Source organism: Homo sapiens, chromosome 5, assembly GCF_000001405.40.
Source record: "Homo sapiens chromosome 5, GRCh38.p14 Primary Assembly".
Classification (NCBI taxonomy): Eukaryota; Metazoa; Chordata; class Mammalia; order Primates; family Hominidae; genus Homo; species Homo sapiens.
This window is the reverse complement of record NC_000005.10, coordinates 15,961,457-15,984,181: the sequence shown is the minus strand read 5'-3', so window position 1 is coordinate 15,984,181 and position 22,725 is coordinate 15,961,457. Positions and strand designations below refer to the sequence as shown.

General features: G+C 37.5%; 1 long non-coding RNA gene across 3 annotated transcripts; it reads right to left on the bottom strand.

Annotated features, from left to right (window-relative positions):
• Window positions 1-370: 370 nt before the first annotated feature.
• On the bottom strand, window positions 371-20,785 carry LOC107986406 (uncharacterized). 3 transcript variants are annotated; one of them, XR_001742610.1, is made up of 4 exons: window positions 19,421-19,952; window positions 4,573-6,717; window positions 3,212-3,270; window positions 371-1,808 (listed from the first exon to the last, which is right to left on the bottom strand). It is a non-coding gene; the product is annotated as an uncharacterized LOC107986406 (long non-coding RNA). The 3 variants fall into 3 exon arrangements; XR_001742608.2 differs by having other exon boundaries at window positions 3,212-6,717; window positions 19,421-20,785; XR_001742607.2 differs by lacking the exon at window positions 371-1,808 and having other exon boundaries at window positions 2,209-6,717; window positions 19,421-20,785.
• Window positions 20,786-22,725: the final 1,940 nt, after the last annotated feature.

Sequence of the window (22,725 nt, the reverse complement as noted above, 5' to 3'; positions counted from 1 at the left end):
ACTTACATGATCTGTCAGAGTCCATGAGGCAGGGAGTATACTTCTCTCATGAAGAGGGGACCATAGAAGGTGAGAGGGAGAAGGAGACATTGTGAGTAAATTACATAATTATATTTATACCTACATATGTATACATATATATAGTACATAGAATGTGTATGTATATAGACAGACATGTATATATATGTAAACATGTGTATGTATATGTATGTGTATATAAGTATGTACATATTCCATATATACATGCTCACAAATAGCATCTATTTCACATGGTGGTTTGGAGATTTAGATAGATTAATACATGTAAAATTTTTTAAAATTAACTTGCAGTAAACACTCAGTAAATGTTCAGAATTGTTATGAACTGAATGTTTGTGCCCCCCCAAAATTTATATGTTGAAACTGTAACCCCCAATGTGATGGTATTTGGAGCTGGGTTCCTAGGGAAGTGATTAGGTTTAGATAAAGTCATAAGGTAGGGCCCCATGATGGGATTATTGTCCTTATTAGAAAAGGAAGAGAAGGCAGAGCTCACTCAGTTGGCCTCTGCCATGTGAGCACACAGTGCTGTCTACAAGCCAGGGAGAGAGCCCTCACCAGAAACCGAATCTGAAAGCACTTTCATTTTGGCCTTTCCAGTCTCTAGGATTATGGGAAGTAAATCTCTGTTGTTTAAGCCACCCAGTCTATGACATGGAAATAGAGTCCCATTCAGCTAATTTATTTGAGCAATATTGTATTACAAATATTTCCCAAATCATTAAAATTTACCATTTTAATGTTATATATTATTGTACAGATATGTCAATTCATTTAAGCATTTTCTATTGTTTGCACATTGACATTGTTACCTTTTTTCTTACTAATGCAAATAATGCTGTGATGACCATCCTCAGGTTCCCATGCGTAAACTTTTGAACATCCAGTTATCCATTCCTAAAAGAGGATTCCTAACTCAGACACTACAGACATTTTAAAGCTCTCGTCAAACTGGTCTTCTGCCCAAGGAGACTAGCCCAGTACCCTTCAACTTCAAGTCTGTGAACAGCATAACTGTCTGGGCCACCTGCTCTCAGCTGTACTTTTACATGGTCAAGATTAATCAGGTTTACATTTTGTTTTGTTTTCATTAGTAAGCATTTCATGATTGATTCACCCTTGTTCCCAAAAATTGAAAATCAGTATTTATATTACTTGACTACGTTAAATATTATTTACTGAATCATCAAGTAGTAGTAGTATAGTTGTTTTAGTTTTAGTAGAGCCAGAATCTTGCTGTGTTGCCCAGGATGGATTAAAATCCCTGGCTTCAAGCAATTCTCTCACCTCAGTCTCCTGAGTAGCTGGGACTCAATAGCATGTCACCGCGCCTGACCTTAGTTTTGTAGTTTTAAAGCCACAATTTACTGGCCAATGAAAGAAGAATGCCAAAACAGATTCTGATTTTTATTCTTCACAATTGATCAAAATAATGTAATGTTTTGATCTACTTTATATTTGGTTCATTCCTTTCTTGTATACATTTTGGTGGGTTTTAAAAAAATTATTCTCTGGCATTCTGGTTGTCTTTTTTATTTTTTGTGAAGTGCAAGATATATGCAATCCCCAGCATATTCCAAATAATGTTCTACCATTCCACTGAGTTATTTGTTATATAAAATGTCACTTAGAATCTACTATATTTGTTTTGAAAACCCACTGACCTTCTAATTTTTACTTTTTATCTCATAGCTGTATTTTATAACTCTCTTCCATCCAAGAGTTTCTAATTACGTTTCATTTCTGTGCTTCAATCGTGACTGATGGCTCTGCAGCAGAATGAGAGAACAATCAACATAAAACTGTTTTTCACTACTTTTCTGGATTTGTTGAATATTTTTTGAATTGCCTTTTTTTTTTTTTTTTGGTTTATACTGTTTTGCCAAAGTACATTCTGATGTGACTTCTAAGGAAGGTTATAGGAAATACAAACTTTCTAAATCCATGTATGTCTGAAAATGTTTTATTAGACATTCTGGCTACAATTTCTAGTTTAAAATTTTTCTTCAACTTTATTTTTATATTTGTCTGTATTACTTGCTTTTCTTTTCCCCCCTGGGACCTTTTAAGATGATGTCTTGTTTTCTTGTTGTACAAAATATGGAGATGTGATTAACTGCGCCAGCCCTTGGGACAGTTTTCCAAATATAAGACACTTGCATCCCTTTATCTTTTGGAAATTGTTTTTATTGTTCTTTGAGACTCCCTCATCTATTTCCTTTCTCCCTCTCTTCCCCCTTTTCTTCCTTCTTTATTCTTTTCTATTAGTTGGATCTTGAATGTTGTATTAGATGGTATTATTTTAAGATAATATCTGATTATTCTAGATACCATTATTTCTGCTTCCAGATAAACAGAAATATGACTGAAGTGGCTCATTCAACAAAATATGGTTTTAAATTTTCATGTAATTAGAAACCTATAGGGGAGAAGTCTTTGTCTGGTGTGGCAATTCCATGATGTTGTAAAAATCCAGGGTCAGTCCCTCTTCCGGAGTCATCATCTTTAGCATGTAGCTTTCACCCTCAGATCCCAACCTGGTTGTTCTTTCTCCATCTATGCTTCCTGTGGCCCAGTCAGAGAGTTGAGGGAAGGGTGAAGGGGATAAGGAGAAACCATCAGAAGTCCCTAAATGTTAATAAGAAGGAAGCAGAGAGTTGATGTTGAGTAGGCAGCCACCCGTTTTTGCTGGAGACCTTCTGATTTCATCTCTATGTCCCTTATCATGTCTTCCATAATCATGGTCTCAGGGTTTTTTTGTTGTTGTTGTTCTTATAGATTCCCTTAAATGTATTTTCCAACTCTTCATTTGAACCTTTTAGAATCTGAGCAAACTTGATTTTGTGAAAGCTCACCTATTCTTGCTTTATGAATGCAAAAAATCTTTTTATATTTTTCGGAGGGACTAACTGGAGGGTTGAAGTGTCCTTAAGTTACTGGAATTATCTCTCTTTGCTATGGGATAGAAGTTTGTATCTTGAGCTTTCTGTTTCCCATTTCAGATTTCCTCCAGTGTCTAGTTATTTTGGTTGTTCCTTAGTGCAAACTTTAGTTGAGAGCTCTGCACAAAGCTGGGGTATTTCAATCAGCCTGCTATTCTAAATATAGAATAATATTTCTGTAGTCCAGGCTTCACTCCTCCAACCCATGCACACAACACATGCATACTTACGTGCACACACCTGGAGTTTACTCTCTTTTCCTATATTTGGTGTTCACTTCTGTCCAGGGCTAGATATAAGCAGAATTGGGAAGCGAATGAAAAATAGATTAGGAAGCCTAATATATTTGAGAAATGCTATATAGTATTTGATTTCACTTTCTAAGCATAGGTTCCTATCTTTCTTCATCTTTATGATCTTTTTTGATCAGACTCTCTCTGAGCTAAATTAGAGGTAATTCAACTAAGGAAATTAATAGCAAAATAAAACAAAAATAACAGTTTGCATCCCCCAGAGAAGGTATTTAGGATGACAGCCAGATTTTGAAAGTGCTCAAGCTCCATTTGAAATTAATTTTTTAATAAATTATGGGGTAGCTAACTCAAGGAGCACCTCTTGTCTGTCTAATCTGTACCATATTAGCAATCAATATAATTTGTTTTTTTTTTCTGAAAATGTAGTGGAGATGGAGAAGGAAATGTAACAAAATTTGATTAACTCTTTTTTTTGCAAGTAAAAATTGTACTCTTCTATGAAAAAGAATGATCAAATTTTGAAATTACTCCTATTTTAACTGGCCATCTATATATTGTATTACATTGCACCATGATTATGAACAAGAAGGTAAAAACTGAGTTGATTTACAATGTTAAAGAATAAAATCTTTGTGTGCTGTGTGCTGTTTTTTTTTTTTTTTTTTTGTCTATTTCAAAGCATCCCATGAAAATACATTCTGACAGCATCATTCTGAATGGACTTCTAAGATTTTTGCCATAGAGAAGAAAACATTTCCTACCAAGAGCCAGTAATCTCACACATGCTATATCAATTTAAGACTTACATGGAAGAACAATCACCACAATGCAGCTTTAGCTTTTTATTTTGGAAGACAGAAACTCTTTAAAAGCTTCAGTAGAGAAGCTCTGGGACTTGATAACAATATCAGTTACTTAAAAATATACTTCAGTTCTATACTGTATATGAACATAATGCAGAAGTATGAGTAAAAGTAGAGGGGGAGAGAAAGAAAGAGACAGATGGAAAGAAAAAGAGAGAGAACAACAGATTGGGAGGCCAGAGAGAAACAGAGAGGAGTTCAATAGATTATGAAGTGTGAAAATATTTTCGTTACATGATGCTGTCTCCTTGGGTTGTTATGTATTAGCAGCACCATCTGAGTTATTAACTTATTACCATCTATTCACACATCCTTAATTATTCTTTATTCTTAAATGCAGTGAATAGTCACAGTAGCCCACCATGGGGGCTTCATTTTTAGACATTACAGTAACTAGGGGAATTTTATTAAGGAGTCAGCACCTAAACCGTTATTGTTATTATTATTATTCTCTAAACCAAACTACAGACTTACTCAGATTTCATCAGTCTTCCCATCAGTGTTCTCTTTCTGGTCCATGATCCAATGTAGGATTCCACATTACAGTTAGTTTTTATGTCTCCATGTCCTCTCCCACTCTGTGATGGTTCCTCAGTATCTCTTTGTCTTCCAGGATCTGACACTTTTGAAGAGTATTGCACAGCTATTTTGAGGAATGTCCTGCAATTTGGTTCTGCCTAATGTGTTTCAATGAATAAATGTTACTTGCGCATTGTTGGCCAAGAGTACCACAGAAACGATAAGCCCTTCTTAGTGTATCAAATCAGGAAGTATGGGATGTCAGTATGTCTTTTTACTGGTGATGTTAATCTTGATCACTTGGCTGAGATGGCATCTGCCAGGTGTTTCCATTTTTAAAATTACTATTTTTCCTTTAGCAATTAATGGGTATCTTGAAGGAGATAATTTTGCACTAGGCACATATAATCTTTATCCTCAAAGTTTTACCCACGAATTTTGGCTTTCGTTGGTACATCTTGCCTGCAACAATTATTACTGTGGCATTCTATTGGTGAATTCATATTTCCATCTTCTTTCTACATTTATTCATTGGGAGAGCTGTTATCTCCCATTCATTCATTCATTCATTTCTTTATGTCATAGACTCATGGATGCTTATTGTATTCTCTTGATAAAAATAATCTATCATTAACTTGCTCAGACTTGGGACATTGGGAGCTCTTTCATGTTGGCTCCTGTGAGCTTTGGACATGCCCCCATTCTTTTTTGAGCACTTCCTTACTTTCTGGCACCACTAGATGCTCTAGGCTTATCTTAAGTTTTCCCTGTCCCGTCCTGGGATTCAACTAATTCTACAAGGAGGTCTGGTTTCTTCTACTGTAAAATGGCATTTAGAAACAGATATCTGGGCTGTAGGTTTGTTCATTATTATTGGGAAGTCATTGAGTCTAGACCCCATCAGTTTGATTCATGCGTTCACCAACACCATGCTGTCTTGATTAACGTGGCTTCACAGTAAGTCTTGAAATTATGTAGTGTGAGGGTTCTATCTTTGTTATTTTATCAAAATTGCTTTGGCTATTGAGGTTTCTTTGCTTTTAAATATGAGTTTTAGAATCAGCTTGTCATTATCCACAAAACAACTTACTAAGATTTTTATTAGGTTTGCACTGAACCTATACATAAATTAATTTGGAGTGAATTGACATTTTAACAAGACTGAGTCTTCCAGACCTTTAATTTTTTACAACTCTGATTTCTATACAAAATTCAAGCCAATACATGGAAACATATTTATAGAGGCTAATTCAAGAACTGGGTCTCTATACAAAAAATAGGCCACAATGTTAGGCAACCAAGAGTTGGGTGACAAGCAGTTCACATGTCATTTTTAATTGGATTTTTTCTCTCCCAAGTCAACAATGAATTAAACTGAGGGGAAAAATAAAAATATTTCCATATGGTAGAATAGTAACAGAACTAATAACAGAATTTAGCTATTTACTTCTAATGCCCTCGATATCATCTACACCAGATGTCCTGCAAAATCGGAAATACTGTCAAAACATTTTGCATTCACAGAACCAAATAATTTCCTTTTTGCTTTGTAAACAATGCAATCATCCCCCGTTTCTTTTTTTTCTGTATTGCCCCCTCACCCCAACTATGTATTTTTTGGAGAGAAAACAAAACCTATGATAAGACAGCAAATGAGTGAAATTATTTTTCCACCATGAATTCATCATTTGTTGGAACTACCTCGGATTTCATTTATTGCAGGGACCTTAGAATAATCATGCCTAGTACATCTATTGTGGTTTGGAAACTAAAGAAGACTTACATATGGTCTTTTAAAGCCTGTTTGTATTTTTTAGATTAAAAAAACTACTATGTTCATTGACGTCTTCTTTCAACTTCATCTCCTTATTATACACAAGTTGGAAGGATGCTCGGCAGGGAGAATGTAACAAGGCCTGTGTGGTGGTTTAGAAATCAGCCACGTAAGGCAGGATGGCTCAGAGCAGGGGATAAATTGATTTCTTTCACTTCTAAAGCCCAAGTTTCCAATGCCAGCTTGTGGAAAACTTTCTAATGAAGTAAATTATGTTGTGGGCTGGTAGATAAGTTCTTGTGATTTCAGCTGCTGGTTACCCTGGGCTGGAATATAAAAGAGATACAATTAGATTTAGGAGAAAAATGGCTTTTTGACAGTGAACTTTACTATTAGTTTATAAAGTTTTTTTCTCAATTTTTAAAACCTTGTGGTAAAATACAATTAATATAAAATTTACCATCTTAAGCATTTTAAGTGTACAGACCAGTGGTATGAAGTACATCCATATTGCTAACCCTATACCTTCATCCATCTCCAAAACTCTTTTCATCTTTCAAAACTGAAGTTCTATATCCACAAAGCAATAACTCCTCATTCCCGTCTCCTCCCAGCCCAAGAAGCCATCATTCTATTTTCTGTCTCTGTAATTTTGAGTGCTCTAAGCACCTCATGTAAGTGGAATTACATAGTATTTAGCTTTTTTCAACTGGTTTATTTCACTTTTCACTTATTTTACACTTCAAAGTTCATCCATGTTATAGCTTGAGCATGGGTAGAAGGGTTTTATTCTTTCGAAAGGCTAAATAATATTTCATTGTAGGTATATATCACATTTTGCTGATTCACTCATCCATTGATGGACAGTTGAATTGCTCCCACATTTTAGCTATTAAGAATAATACTGCTGGCTGGCATGTTGGCTCACACCTGTACTCCCAGCACTTTGGGAGGCCAAGACGGGCGCATCACCAGATGTCAGGAGTTCGAGACCAGCCTGGCCAACATGGTGAAAACCCGTCTCTACTAAAAATACAAAAATTAGCCAGGCATGGTGGTGAGTGCCTGTAATCCCAGCTACTCAGGATGCTGAGGCAGGAGAATCGCTGGAACCAGGGGGGCAGAGGTTGCAGTAAGCCAAGGTTGTACCACTGCACTCCAGCCTGGGTGGCAGAGCAATACTCCATCTCAAAAAAAAAAAAAAAAAAAAAAAAGAATAATACTGCCATGAAAATGGGTATTCAAAGCAACGATATCTCCTTGAGACGCTACTTTCAATTCTTCTGGGTACATACCTATAAGTAGAATTATTGGATCCTGTGGTAATTCTCTTTTAAGGTTTTTGAGGACCCACCACACCATCTTCCACGGCAGCTATACCATTTAACATTCCCATCCACAGCGTACAAAGGTTCTTATTTCCTGGAAAATGCCCCATGTGCATTTAAACATGTGCATTCTGTGTCTGTTGCACAGAGTGTTCCTTATATGTCTGTTAGAGCTAGCTGGCTTATTGTGCTGTCCAAGTCCTCTATTTCTTTACCTATCTTCTTTCTGCCTAGTTATTCTGTCTATTATTGAGAGTGAGGCATGAAAGTCGCCAACTATTATTGTAGAACTATCTATCCATTTAAGTTTGTTAATTTTTGCTACATGTATGTCAAGGGTCTGTTACTAGGTCTGAAAAATGTTTAAAATAGCTATATATTCTTGCTGTATTGTATCTTGTATTAGTGTATAGCATCCTTCTTTGTCTCTTGTAATCTTTTTAAATTTGAAATTTATTTTATCTGAAATTAGTATATCCAGCCTTACTCTCTTTTGTAACTATTTGCATAAAATACCTTCTTTCATGCTTTCGCTTTCAACCTATTTCTGTATTTGGATCTAAAGTGAGTTTCTTGTAGACAGCATGTAGTTAGATTTTGTGTGTGTGTTTTTTTTAAGTTCATACTGCCAATTTCTGTCTTTTGATTGCAGAGTTTAGTCTTTACATTTAAAGTAATTACTAATAAGAAGGGACTTCTGTCATTTTGCTACCTGTTTTCTATAAGCCGTATAGCTTTTTTGTCCCTCATTTCCTGCATTACTGTCTTCTTTTGTATTTAGCTGATTTTTGGTAGTGAAATGATAAAATTTCTTTCTCATTTCCTTTTGTGTATATTCTATAGCTATTTTCTTTGTGGTTACCATGGAATTACATTAAACATACTAACTATAAATAAGTTATAAAACTCTAATTTGAATTTAGAACAGTTTAATAACATACAAAATCTCTGCTCCTTAACAGCTTCATCCTCACCTTTTTCAGTTGTTGATATCGCAAAATTACATCATCATACATTGTGTGTCCAAAAGCATAAGTTAATCATTTTTAATACATTAGTCACTTCAGTTATGTAGAAAACAAAGTGTGGAATCACAAACCAAAGTTAAAATAACACTAGCTTTTAAACTGGTAATTTTATAAAATGTATTACTCTCAAATCATGTAGAAAACAGAAAGTGAAGTTGCAAACCATTGTTACAATAACAAGTTTTTATAATTTTCATGTATTTACCTTTACTGAGCTTTTTATTTCTTCATATAGTTTCTAGTTACTGTCTAGTCCTTTCATTTTTACCCTTCAGGACTCCCTTGAGCATTCCTACAGAGCAGGTCTATTGGTAATAAACCCCTTCAGTTTTTGCTTACTGAAAATGTATGTCTTAATTTCTCCTTCACCGTGAAAGGACAGTTTTGCTGGATATAAGATTCTTGCTTGACTGTTTTTTTTCCTTTTAGAGCTTCTGTGAGTTCTAAAGAGAAAGCCTGCTGCATTCTGGCCTCAAAAGTTTTTAATCAGAAATATGCTGATAATCTTATTGAAGATCTTTTGTATGTGATGAGTCTTCTGTCTTGCCACTTTCAAGATTCTCTTTGTCTTTTGACAGTTTACGATATGTTTCAGTGTGGGTCTCTTTGAGTTCATCTTCTTTGGAGTTTGTCAAGCTTCTTATATACTTATATGTATGTCTTTTACTACATTTGGGAAGTATGGAGGATCTGGAACTTTCATATACTTCTGATAGGAGTTCTAAATGCTCTAGCCACTTTGAAAAACAGTTAGGCAGTTTCTTAAGCTAAACATGCATTTACCTTATGATGCAGTCATTCACTCCTAGGTATTTATCCAAGAGAAAAGAAACTCTCTCTATATACAAAGGTTTATACATTCATATTTATAGCAACTTTATTTGTATGTTGCTTTTTGAGTTTGGCATCTGCATTTGAGATTCATACAATTATAGTTTTAAAATGAACTTTATATTCTCTACTTTATCAGTTGTTTTGTCAATTCCTTAACATCATCAATGTAACTTTGAAGAGAATGTGCTCTACGGTAGACAAACCTATGGTTCCTGTCCTCAAGGAGCTTACAGTCTCGTGGGCTGTATACAAATGTTATGGAGGACACCAAGAAGTTCAGGTTTCAAGATAAACTCAAAATTGGAGAATCAACTCTAGTGTGGGAATATGAGAGTTCTCTGAAAATGAGTCATTTAAAAGTAAGCATAAGAATATATAAGCATTTACTCAGATAGTGGTTTCTACATGCATGCTTGTCCATGAACCACTGCTGTTCCATAATGAAGTTTTTTACTAGCCCATGATAAAATAGGAAAATGTAAGAACAATATTGCTAAGTTATTGAAAATATGGGATTTGCTTAATTCTGAGATTGTGCCCCTTCTAATTTTGTGTTAAAATTTTTATTTCAATAATAAATATATCAATTTTGCATATATATATTAAGAAAGAGAGAAGGGTAAAGAAATGTGGCAAATTGTTAAATATTGGTGAATCTGGATATATTGTATATGGGAGTTCTTTATTCTTGTAAGTCTTCTGTAAATTTGATTATTTCAAAATAAAAAGTGAAAAGTGAAAAGTTCTTTCTTTCATGAAAATCAGGGTATAATGGTAATTATTTTTATTTAAAAAAGTAAAAAGTAGATAGCATCTTGCCAGTTTGGGAATTTTACTGCTGGCAGGAATTCCCAATTGTAGATATAATAGTTTCCTTTTGCTGTTCTAACAATTACTACAAACTTTGGTAGCTTAAAATATTCAAATTTATTATTCTAAAATTTTATAAGTCGGAAGTCTAAAATAGATCTCATTGGGCTAAAATAAAAATATTTGCAAGATTGTTTTCCTTTTGAAGGCTGAGTAAAAGAATCTGGTTTTTGGGCTTTCCCAGCATTTAGAGATCGTCTTTATTCCTTGGATCATGGCCCCTTCCTCCATCTCCAAAGCCAGCAGTGCAATATCTTCAAATCTCTCCCAAACTCTGACTCTGACTCTCCTGCTTCCACATTCACTAGTAAGCACCCTTGTAACAGCATTGGAACCACCCACATAGTCCAGGATCATCTCCTTGTGCAAAGGTCAGGTGATTAGCAACCTTAATTTTATCAGCAACCTTGGTTCTACCTCACCATATCACAGAACATACCCAGAGGTTCCAGAGATTAGGACATGGACATCTTCAGAAGACTATTATTCTGCCTACCCTGTGGAGAATGTCGGGAGAAATTTCCAGGGTACTAGTGTAAAGGCGGAGTGAGGATGAAAGAAGACTGGAGTGGTAGGAAAAGACTAGGCAGTGCAGAAGCTTTTAGGGCATGTTTGAGATCTGAGACTTCACCCAGTGGGAAACCACAGATGGGTTTTAAGTGGGGGCTGACTTGTTCAGATTTGTATTTATGGAAGTTTGCCCTCTGTCCAACAAAGAATATAGGTTGGATACCAATGGCTTGCTGAGTACAGGATATGAGGCCCTTCTAATCATTCTGGTAAGAGCTGATGGCATCTGGTCTCTGCTATTGACAGTGGGAACAGGCAGAAATAAATTACTCTCTATTGGCACTAGGAGAAGTAAAAATTGGAATTGGATTCCCCAGGTGGCCATCTCATCTCTAGTGATATTAAGATACTACTTTAGAAGGGAGAATTATCAGAACTTGGAGAATGACTGGACAATGGGCTTTGAGAGGGGGTATACCAGCGTTCAACAGAGAAACAGAACCAGTAGGAGATGTGGTTTTTACATGCAGATTTATTGCGAGGAATTGCCTTTACAATTGTGCAGCTGGTTAAGCGGCCCTGAAGACCAGAGGACAGGCAGTCAGGAAGGCAAGATCATGAACAGGCAAGGAAACACAGGGTAAAAGGGGAACAACTGCAGACTCAGCTGCTGTTTGGAGTCTCTGGGCTCACGGAAGAGCTAATGTCTCGTTAAAGGCTTATTTTGATAAAGTCAACTGATTAAGGACTTTAGTTACATCTGAAAAATCCCTTCAGAGGAACATAATAGTGTTTGATCAAATATTTGTGAGAAGGTGTGTGTATGCTACAAATTGGCCACTGCCTTTCTTCTGTCCTTTATCTCTTCTGAGAGATTATCCCTTGTAGCTCCTCCCAACCGGAAACATACTATTAAATAGAAAGAAAATGGTGGGGCCTGTAGCGCAGTTTAGCCAAGTTAACTGACACATCACAAAGCTGTCACAGAGAGGAAGGTGTGCAGGAATATGAAAGATTCCTGGTTGGAGTCACTAGGACCAGGCTTTGTGGAGACATTCATATGTGCGAGTCTCAGAGTTACATAGTGTGGTGAGGGAGACTTCTATTTTATGTCCTTTGTGCTATCATGATCCTACACAGAAAGATGGGGATGGGAGGGTCAGAGCAAGGAAAGAACAGCACTTCCAGGTCACTTCGCCTCATTCTGGACTCCCCTTTTCCAGGGTGTGCTGTGACTCCACCCCATGTCTGCAGGAGCCCCGAGGCATTCGCCCCAGTGAGCTGACAGATGACACCATGACTAAGACCTTCATCTGGGACTTTATGGCCTGCTAGTATGTTCAAACCTCTTGAGTTCTTGGCCTCCTGGATATGCTATAAAAATGGCATCTACTCTACTTATCTCTCTGGGGTGTGTTCACAGAAAGCTGGAGCAGGAGTTTGAAAAGGGCGGTGATGGTGTGGATGTAAAGTTATCGTCTCGGCTCCCTATTGCATGGGATTACACATTATTGATGGTGCAAGACAGTCACTCACTCTCAGCCACAGAGACCTCTTGGCATCCTGTGAAAGGGCAGGGTTTTCTCTTCGATGTCACATTAGAAAGTTAGATGTGTATCTACCCCAAGCATACCTTCCTTCCTGAAACATAATATGTAACTTAATATCCTAGAGTTTAAAAGGCCCCCAAGGTGCTTTCTAATGTATTTACTCCAAGTTATAAAGTTTCATGATTTTTTAAATTAATGAATTTAGTGTGAAAATTAGGAAAAAATGTTTCAAATAATCATGAATTGAGTGTGGACTGTGTGCTGTTTTCCACATGCATTTTATTTTTTTTCTCCACAGCCAATCCAAGAGATGAGTGTTATTACCCACACTGCAAATGAGGATTTGCAAAGTCACACTCTTAGTAAATGGGAGAACAGATGTCTGCCTAAAATAATGAAAATATTTTATCCACTATGACACATCGTGCATCTAACCCCTCACTGGCAGCTTAATAACTTTACCCTATAACAAGGTAATACATTTGACATCAGTGATGTTCTTTTAAAAATTAATAGGAAAACTTATTTTAAAGGGCTCCATTACTGAAAAGTGGGACTAAATATAAGCAAGTCATAAACTCCTAGGGAAAACATAACATAAATGGCTAGAGCAGTAATGAAATTGAATTGTCAAGCAATGTAAAGATCCTAAAATTTATTGCTTGATTTATTCAGGAATACTTAGCAGATATCTATGATAAATAAAAAGTTAAGTCTGATACAAATTCTGAGCTAAAGGAAGTTTATATCTGAGTGGAGAGAGAAGATATGACACAGATTATCACGGCATATGATAGCAAAGGCTGGATATCAGAAGAGCAGAGCAGATGAGGTGTTTTGGTAAGACACAGAATGAAGAAAGGAGATTTATAGAACATGGACCAAGTGTCATGACATCAACACTCAGTCTGTGTTGATGAGACAGAGAGTTTCATCTTACAGAGACAAACTGGGACAGATAATTTCCTCTAGGAAATTCTAGAGAATTTGTATATTTGTATATTTGTAAATACAACTGTCCCAAACTTGGATCAACCAAGTGTGATCCTGGTAGTTTACACAGTCAAACTGCCTGGCATACAGTGGGATAAATAGATGCAATATGGTAAATCAAAGTGTCATCAATAGTCTTACAGAGGCAGGGCACCCTCAAATGGCTTTTATTGGGTGGGAGCATGTATTTGGCTAAATATTGTATGGGTTGGTTTGTTGACTATCTTATTCTATTCTCAGACTCTGAATCAGCATTTAAATAATGGTGAGTGTGTTGCTGGAGGGAGGGGAGAGATAAAGAGACAGATAGAGATAAGCAAGAAAGAGATAAAGAGACAGAAGAGAGAGAGAGAAAGAGACACAGAGAGAGAGATAAGTGAGAGAGAAAGAGAAGAGCATGATAGACATAGAGAAAGAGACAGAGAGGGATCAAGATCACAATAGGCCCTGAGGATAAAGGAAGACAACAGCAGACAATGAATCCAGATGCTGTGTCTGATTTGCAGCTCTTACACCTTATTGCTGTCACAAATTGTACCCATGTTTTTGAACTCTCACTTGTTCTCAGTTGGTCATTGTAATTTCCTGTCTATGTGATTTTGAATACAACCTCACGGCCACATACTCCTAATAATAAACTTGCCTATCAAATCGTCATCTGTGCTGTGCTGTCTGGCTCTCTCCTGCATGCTTGTCTACTGGCTTTGGTTCTCCCCACCCAATTCTAACTGGATATCTGACAGCATAGCCAAGGAAAGGTTGGGTGGACATTTCTTATGATCTGATGATCTGAGGTTTGGCAGCTTTAACCAGGACTGGGGTCCCTAAAGACACAGTGCCTGCGCTTCTTATTTCACTCCCTAGAAGTTGATTAAAAACTCAGGAATTATTTTCCCTCCCTATTGATAAAAGCAATATTTACACGGTGATTAGTCACCCCAAAAACTTGCAGAAACAATCAGGTGCTACAGTGTAAGCATAATTTTGATCTCACCATCATAAATGGAAGGGTTTGTTTTCTTTTCCAGGAGAAGTACTGCCCTCCTAACCCTCAGTCCTTTTCCTCAATTAAGCCTTGCAAGATAAAGAACAACAATAATGAGGGTTTGGGTACACAAAGAACGTGAACAAATATTGCTTCCTTTTTCAGAGGCAAGCTCAGAATTGGAGCCAGCCACTTGGGACATTTCATCTTAGGACCAGGATGCAGGACCACTTGAGAAGCCTGTGAAATACTGAGGGAGACCAAGAGTGCCACAGATAAAAGGAGTAGTGTACATGCAAGGACAGAGGGACAGAGGAAAGACATGCTGGTTTGTGCTATGTCAACTTGGTTATACAAAAACCCTGTGTTCCAGATTCCCATTCCCTGCATGGTCTTGAGGTGTCTTGAGCACAGATGAACTGATGTGAACTTTGGAAGGCAGCAGTGAACTCCCAGCCGTCATTATCTGGAGGCTGTGAGGACTCGCACATGCTTGCCATGAGCTTCCTTTTATGGTCTCACTTTGGCGATGACACGCTTGTGGCTTCACAGCTTCACCAAGTCCCTTAGTCACCCAATCTCTCCTGGACCTTCACTTCCCAGCTTCTTCCACAATTGTGTGAGATTTAATTCCCCTATGAAATACCCAATCCCAGGCTGGGCTTGGTGGCTCAAGCCTGTAATCCCAGCACTTGGGGAGGCTGAGGCTGGTGGATCACCTGAAGTCAGGAATTTGAGACCAGCTTGGCCAACATGGTGAAACCCCGTGTCTACTAAAAATACAAAAATTAGCCAGGTCTGGTGGCAGGTGCCTGTGATCCCAGCTACTCAGGAGGCCAAGAAGGAGAATGCTTTGAACCTGGGAGGGGGAGGTTGCAGTAAGCCGAGATTGGGCCACTGGACTCCAGCCTGGGTGACAGAGCAAGACTCCATCTCAAAAAATAAATAAATGAATGAATAAATAAATACCCAATCCCATAATTTTATATGGTTGTACCTTTCTGGTTGAGCCCTGACAAGTACTGGATGTGACGAGGGGACTAGATGTCTCATTTCAATTCACCATCATGAGAACCAACTCAACAAAACCTTCCCATGGAAGGCTCTCACTTAGCACTGGAAACAATGATCAACTGGAAATTGAGTTCCCAGGTGGCAGTGGACAGGAGTGGGAGTTTTCATTCATTAGTTCATTGATTCAACATATGTGTAGATAACTCCCCAAATGTGCCAGGTACCCTAGGCAGTGAAGATACTCTTAAGCCGAAACAGGCTTACCATCTAATTCATTATCCAAACCAGATCTGTTTGAGAGTGAGAGGGGAGACTATTAATAAATATACCAGAAAACCAGGCATAAAATGGGGCTGTACTAGACCCACCAGGATACAGATAAAAAGATTCCTGGTTCTGGTCCTCATGGTACTAACAGTCAGTATGAAAGACATCCTTTACTTTAAAAATTATTTCACGAATAAATGTACACTGACAAGGATGAGAAGGGCTAACTAGAATGGAGCTGAGATAACACATCACAGGATGATTGACCTGCTCCAGGAAGTTAGGAAAGGGTGCTGACTGCACTGAGATCCCGGGCAGGGTTTCTCCCTCTCTGTCTTGGTCTTGATCTCGATTTGTTTTTCTGTGTTTTTGACTGGTGAAACTTACACAAACACTGGTAGAAATGGGGCCAGCCAGGATTGCTGAGTGAGCAGGTCACTTACGTGGGGAGTTTGTGGGCAGGCAAAGACCATGTGAAAGTGTAAAAGTCAGACGTTCATGAGTTGGGCTGTGCCCACCCTGGAAGATGACCCTTGCCCTTGGAAGCTAATCTGGTTCAGGGAAACAAGTCTTGACCTTGGTGGGAGACAGCCTTTTCCATATATTGAATTTTAATCTTTATCCTTTTGCTTTTAGATCACAGATTTTGGTCTAAACATTGGGCTCACTCTTCACTAGCTGTTGGACAAGTTATTTACTCCCATTTGCTCCCTTTTAGCCTGAATTCTCATCTGTGAAATGTTTATCAAACTAGTAACACACCTCATAGGATTGTTTTAGTGATAAAATAAGGCTAAGAATGTAAATGCTTAGACAATGCTTGGCACAGAACACCCTTCATATAAATGGTACTTCTTGTCATTGTGTTTATGAGTGTAATTATTATTATTATTGGGTCATAAAACTCCTCAGTGAAACATGTGGGATATTCTTTCATATAGTTGTTCCTTGAAGAACAAAGATAAATCACAGTTAAAATGCTTCCAGGTTTCCTTCATTTATTCCCTTATAAATCTAAAACATGATTATTATCAAAATGTTTAAAACATTGCAAAAATGAAAAAAATAAATTGTATATGTTTCTACAACTTAGAGATATATGCTGTCAACACTTTGATTTATTTTCTTTCCATATTGTGCTGTGAATATTTATGTGGTTGTGTTAAATTATATAACGTATTGTATATGCTGAATTTTTCAAGTTTTCAGATTTAAAAATTATAAATGTTCATTATAGAAACATTAGAAATGCTTACAAAATCCATACTCAAAGCCTTGAAAGTACACATCTGTTAACATTTTGAGTTTATTTTCTTATGACCTGTTTCTACACTTCTTAAGAGACAGTTGAAATTATACAATGTGCACTAATTGTTAAGCATCACTAATAAGAAGACATTTATAGGTCCTATATGAAAAATTTTGTAAAGCACTGATTGGTCACAGCTTATATCAGCCTCTGAGTGGATTTATTAGGCTTCCCTAATTTAAAATCTCCAATCACTGCTGTCTTCAACATGAATTTTAAAGAGGCCCAAAATGATTACTCAAGTAACTTGTGGTGCAATTGGGTATCATATTACTTGTACATTTTTGCTTCTAAAGGATACAAATAAAACTTTTAGTACTCCTTCTAATTCAATGTCCCAAATACCCAAAAGTTTTGCCATGTTGGCAGTGGCCTGTACAAAATAAAAACAATGATTGTTTCAGGTGTCATCAACCATGACTTTAAGATGATCATAAAAACACATTTCTGTTTCTAAATGAGTTAAAACTGAGGGGACGCTTTAGGGTCAAGCTTCACTCCAAGTTGCAGCACGGACTGATAACACACAAACCTTCTCAATTCTAAATTTAGGATGAATGCTGAGGAAGGGAAACCTTAACAACATTTTTATACCCTTCACTTCCATGCCCAGTTGTCTGTAAGTGATGGGATAAAAAAGATGAGTCAGACAAACGTGTTTGAGGTTATTTTGTAAAGAACATTAGAGTTTGCTGACTACATGTTAGATTTAAATTTTGAGTCATCTCTCATCCAATTAAAACTATTCAAAATGCAAGGGTAATTTTCTGAGCAACTAGATGTATAAGTCTTTCTCTTTAACTTGACAACGTTAAAATTGTCAAGTGATAAAATGCTCACGCTGCATATTTTGCTTTGTGTATGTGGCAAGTTGTCTTCTGGTACTTAGAGTTGCAGAGGAGAAGATCAACTACGAAACACAACTTTCATCCAAACTTTTCCAAAGGCTTGTGAAATTTTTCTTCACTTTTAAAACTCAAAACTTCTGCTATGATGTAGGTGCTTCTTGCCATTGATTTTTTTTTTCCTGGAAAGCAGTAAACCCTTTAAATTCGTATCCTTACAATTTAAAACTGAAACTCAGCAAAGTGTATAAGAAAGAAAGTTGTTTTCTCAAATATGCCATTGATTTTTGCTTCCACAGTTTCTCGAGGTTCTCTTCCATATTACTTTTATTTATTTTATTTTATTTTTATTTATTTATTTGAGACAGAGTTTCTGCTCTGTCACCCAGGCTAGAGTGCAGTAGCGCAGTCTCGGCTCACTGCAACCTCCACCTCGTGGATTCAAGAGATTCTCATGCCTCAGCCTCGGGATTACAGGCATGCACCACCACACTCAACTAATTTTTGTATTTTTAGTAGAGATGGGTTTCACCATGATGGCCAGGCTGGTCTCGAACTCTGGCCTCAAGTGATCCACCCGCCTCGGCCTCCCAAAGTGCTGCGATTACAGGCATGAGCCACTGCGCCCGGCCCACTTTTACTTTTACTACATTTTCAATTCTGTATTTTACTGCCTCAAGTAGAAAATTTAACTTTGCAATTATATTGGTAACTTCCTTGTAATAATTCCCCATCCTATTCATCTGCTGTACATATAACTGTGTTGTCGTTTTTTTCTCAGTCTTTTTACCCCTTCTAATTTTTTCTTTTTTTTTCTATCAGGATCATATTTGCATACATCCATTAGGTGATGCCAGATTTCCAAAGTTTTCTTGTGGCTTCCAGAGCAAATAAAAAAAAGAATTTGTTTTGGTCTCTCTGAGTCTTCAGGATGATGTTCCCTTTATCTAAGTCTGCTTCATTTAATCATGGGTTTAATGTTAGCACATCTTCCAGCAACTTGAGGCATAATCAGATCCATTGTGAAATTACAGGATGGATGTAGATTGTTTTCTGGCTCTGCCAATGTGTTTTCTCTCCAAAGACCTGCACACATTTTCTATTTTGCCTCCTGCTGCTCTGAAGTTCTTGGGGCATCATTGGCTTCTGGTTTTCAGTTGGCCTCAGCTAATAGAAATCTCCAGCAAGAGATTACAGTAAGGGAGGAGAGAATGGTTGGGATTTATCTCCTCTGACTCCCTTCCTGAGGTTGCTGGGCACTTTACTCAAGGCCACAATTCTCCTAAGGCACCCCTATCACACGATGCTTTCTGTCCAGATTCTAGTAACTTCAGACTCCCCAAACTTTCCCCTTTCAGGCCTACAGATAATGATAGCACCCCTGTTTTTAACCCCTACTATCATTTTTGGATTCCCTGTGTCTTAGTCTGTTTCTGCTCCTATAAAGAAATACCTGAGACTGGGTAATTTATAAGGAAAAGAAATGTACTACTCACAGTTCTAGAGGGTGGAAGTCCAAGACCAGGGCACTAGTGGGTTTGGTGTCTGCTGAAAGCCTGTTCACTGCTTCCAAGATGGCACCTTGCTGCTGGTTCCTCCAGAGGAAACAAGTGTTGTGTCCTGACATGGCAGAAGGGTGGAAGTGAAAAGGGGGCTGAGCTAGTTCTCTCTAGCCCTTTTATAAGAGCACTAATGAGGGCAGAGCCTTCATGACCAAATCACCTCTCAAAGGCCACACTTCTTAATAGTGTTGCATTGGGGATGAAGTTTCAACATGGATTTCAGAGGGGACACAAGTATTCAAACCATAGTGCCTTACTCTGTCCACACATATGTAAATACAGGCACACCTCTGAGATACTGTAGTCTTAATTCCATACCACTATAATAAAGTGAATATATCCACAAAGTGAGTCACATAAATTTCTGGTTTCTCAGTGCATATAGAAGTTATGTTTACAATATACTATAAATTAAGTGTACAGTAGCATTACATCTAAGTAAACAATGTACATACCTTAATTAGAAGAACTTTATTCCAAAAAAAAAAAAAAACACACAATCATCTGAGCCTTCAGCAAAGTCGTAATCTTTTTTTTTGGTGAAAGATCATGACTTGATGTTGATGGCTGCTAACTGATGTGGGTGGTGGTTGCTGAAAGTTGGGGTGGCTGTAGCAATTTCTTAAAATAAGACAATAATAGAGTTTGCCGTATTGATTGACTCTTTCAGGAAAGAGATTTCTCTGTGGGATGTCATGCTAGTTGATCGCATTTTACCACAGTAAAACTTCTTTCTGAATTACATTTGATATTCTTCAAACATGCCATTGCTTTATCAAATAAGCTTATGTAATATTCCAAATTATTTGCTGTCATTTCAACAATGTTCACAGCATCTTCTCCAGGAATAGATTCCAACACAAGAAATGACTTTCTTGGCTAGTTCATAAGAAGCAACTCCTCAGCTGTTAATGCTTTATCATGAGATCAGAGAAATTCAGCTCCATCTTTAGGGTCCACTTCTAATCCTAGTTCTCTTGCTATTTTCACCACATCTGCCGTGACTTACTCCAAAGAAGTCTTGAATCCCTCAATATCATCCATGAGGGATGGAACCAGCTTCTTCCAAACTCTTATTCTTGTTGATATTTTGACCTACTCCCATTAATCACAAATGTTCTTAATGGCATCTTGAACTACGAATTCTTTCCAGGAGGTTTTCAATTTACTTTAACCAGATTCATCAGATAAATCACTATTTATGGCAGCTATAGAGTTACAAAAAGGTGTTACTTAAATAATAAAATTAGAAAGTTGAAATTACTCCTTGATCCATGAGCTTTATGTTGGATGTTGTGTTAGCATAATCGGCTGGGCGCAGTGGCTCACACCTGTAATCCCAGCACTTTGGGAGGCTGAGGCAGGTGGATCACCTGAGGTCAGGAGTTCAAGACCAGCCTAGCCAACATGGTGAAACCCCATCTCTACTAAAAATACAAAAAATTAACTGGGTGTGGTGGTGGGCACCTGTAATTCCAGTTACTCAGGAGGCTGAGGCAAGAGAATTGCTTGAACCTGGGAGGCGGAGGTTGCAGTGAGCCAAGATTGCACCATTGCACTCCAGTCTAGGCAACAGAGTTAAACTCCAACTCAAACAAACAAATAAACCAAAAACAAAACAAAACAAAACCCATTAATCACTTTTTATATTGCCATTAGAGTTTTTTCTAACCAGTAGGTCCCACTAGTGGGTTTAAAATATTCAGCAAACCATGTTGTAAACAGATGTTCTGTCATTTAGGCTTTGTTGTTCCATTTATAGAGCACAGGCAGAGTAGATTTAGCATAATTCTTAAGGACCCTAGAATTTTTGAATGATGAATGGTTATAAATGGACTGGTGACTTATACCCACTAGCTGCATTACCCCCTAACAAGAGAGTCAGCTTGTCCTTTGAAGTTTGAAGCCAGGCATTTGTCTCCCCGTCTCTAGCTATGAAAGTCCTAGATGGCATCTTCTTTGAATAGAACGGTGTTTAGTCTATATTAAAAATCTGTTGTTTAGTGTAGCCACCTTTATCAATTATCTTACTTAGCTTTTCTTGATAACTTTCTGCAGCTTCTACATCAGGACTTCTTGCTTTCCCTTGCACTTTTATGTTAGGGAGATGGCTGCTTTCCGTATACCTCACGAATCATCCTCAGCCACCTTCAAACTTTTCTTCTGCAACTTCCTCACCTCTCTCAGCCTTCATAGAATTGAAGAGTTAGGGCCTTGTTCTTGAGTTCTTGGCTTAAGGGAATGTTGTGGCTGGTTTGATCTTCTAACTAGACCACTAAAACTTTTTCCATATCAGTAATAAGGTTGTTTTGCTTTCTTATCATTTGTGTGTTCACTGGAGTAGCATTTTTAATTTCCTTCAAGAACTTTTTCTTTGCACTCACAAATTAGCTGTTTTGTGCAAGAAGCCTAGTGTTTGGTGTATCTTAGCTTTCAACATACTTTCCTCACTAAACTTAAACATTTCTAGTTTTTGATTTAAAGTAAGAGACATACTACTCTTCACTTGAACACTTAGAAGCCATTGTAAGGTTATTAATGAACCTAATTTCAATATTGTGTCTTAGGGAATAGGGAAGCTGGAGGAGAGGTGGACAGATGGGGGAATGACCAGTTTTGATGAAAGAGTCAGAACACACACAACACTTACTGGATTGGTTAAGTTCTTAGTCTTATCATAGTGTGGTTTAAGGTGCCCCCAAAAAATTACAAGAGTAATATCAAAGATCACTGGTCACAGATCATCAGTACAGGTATAATTACAGTAAAAAAGCTTGAAATATTGCAGGAATTATTGGCATGGGACACAGAGACACAAAGTGAGCATATGTATTTGAAAAAATAGGACCAAGAGACTTGTTAGACACAGGGTTGCTACAAACCTTCAATTTGTAAAAAACACTATTTGCAAAGTGATATAAAGTGAAGCACAATAAAACTTGGTGTGTCTGTAGTCCCTTTACTAACCCTCCTTCGATGGCTAATTTTATATGTCAAGTTGGCAAGGCTGTGATGTTGCTGTGAAGGCATTTTGTAGATGTGATGAGCATCTACAATCAGTTGACTTTAAGTAAAGCAGATTTCCCTCCATAATGTGAGTGGTCCTCATCTAATCAGTTGAAGTCCTTAAGAGCTGAATTAGGTTTCTCAGAGGGGAAGGAATTATCTCTTAAGACTGTAGTATAGAAATCACACCTGAGTTTTCACCTGCCAGCCTGCCCTATAGCCTTGGCAGCCCT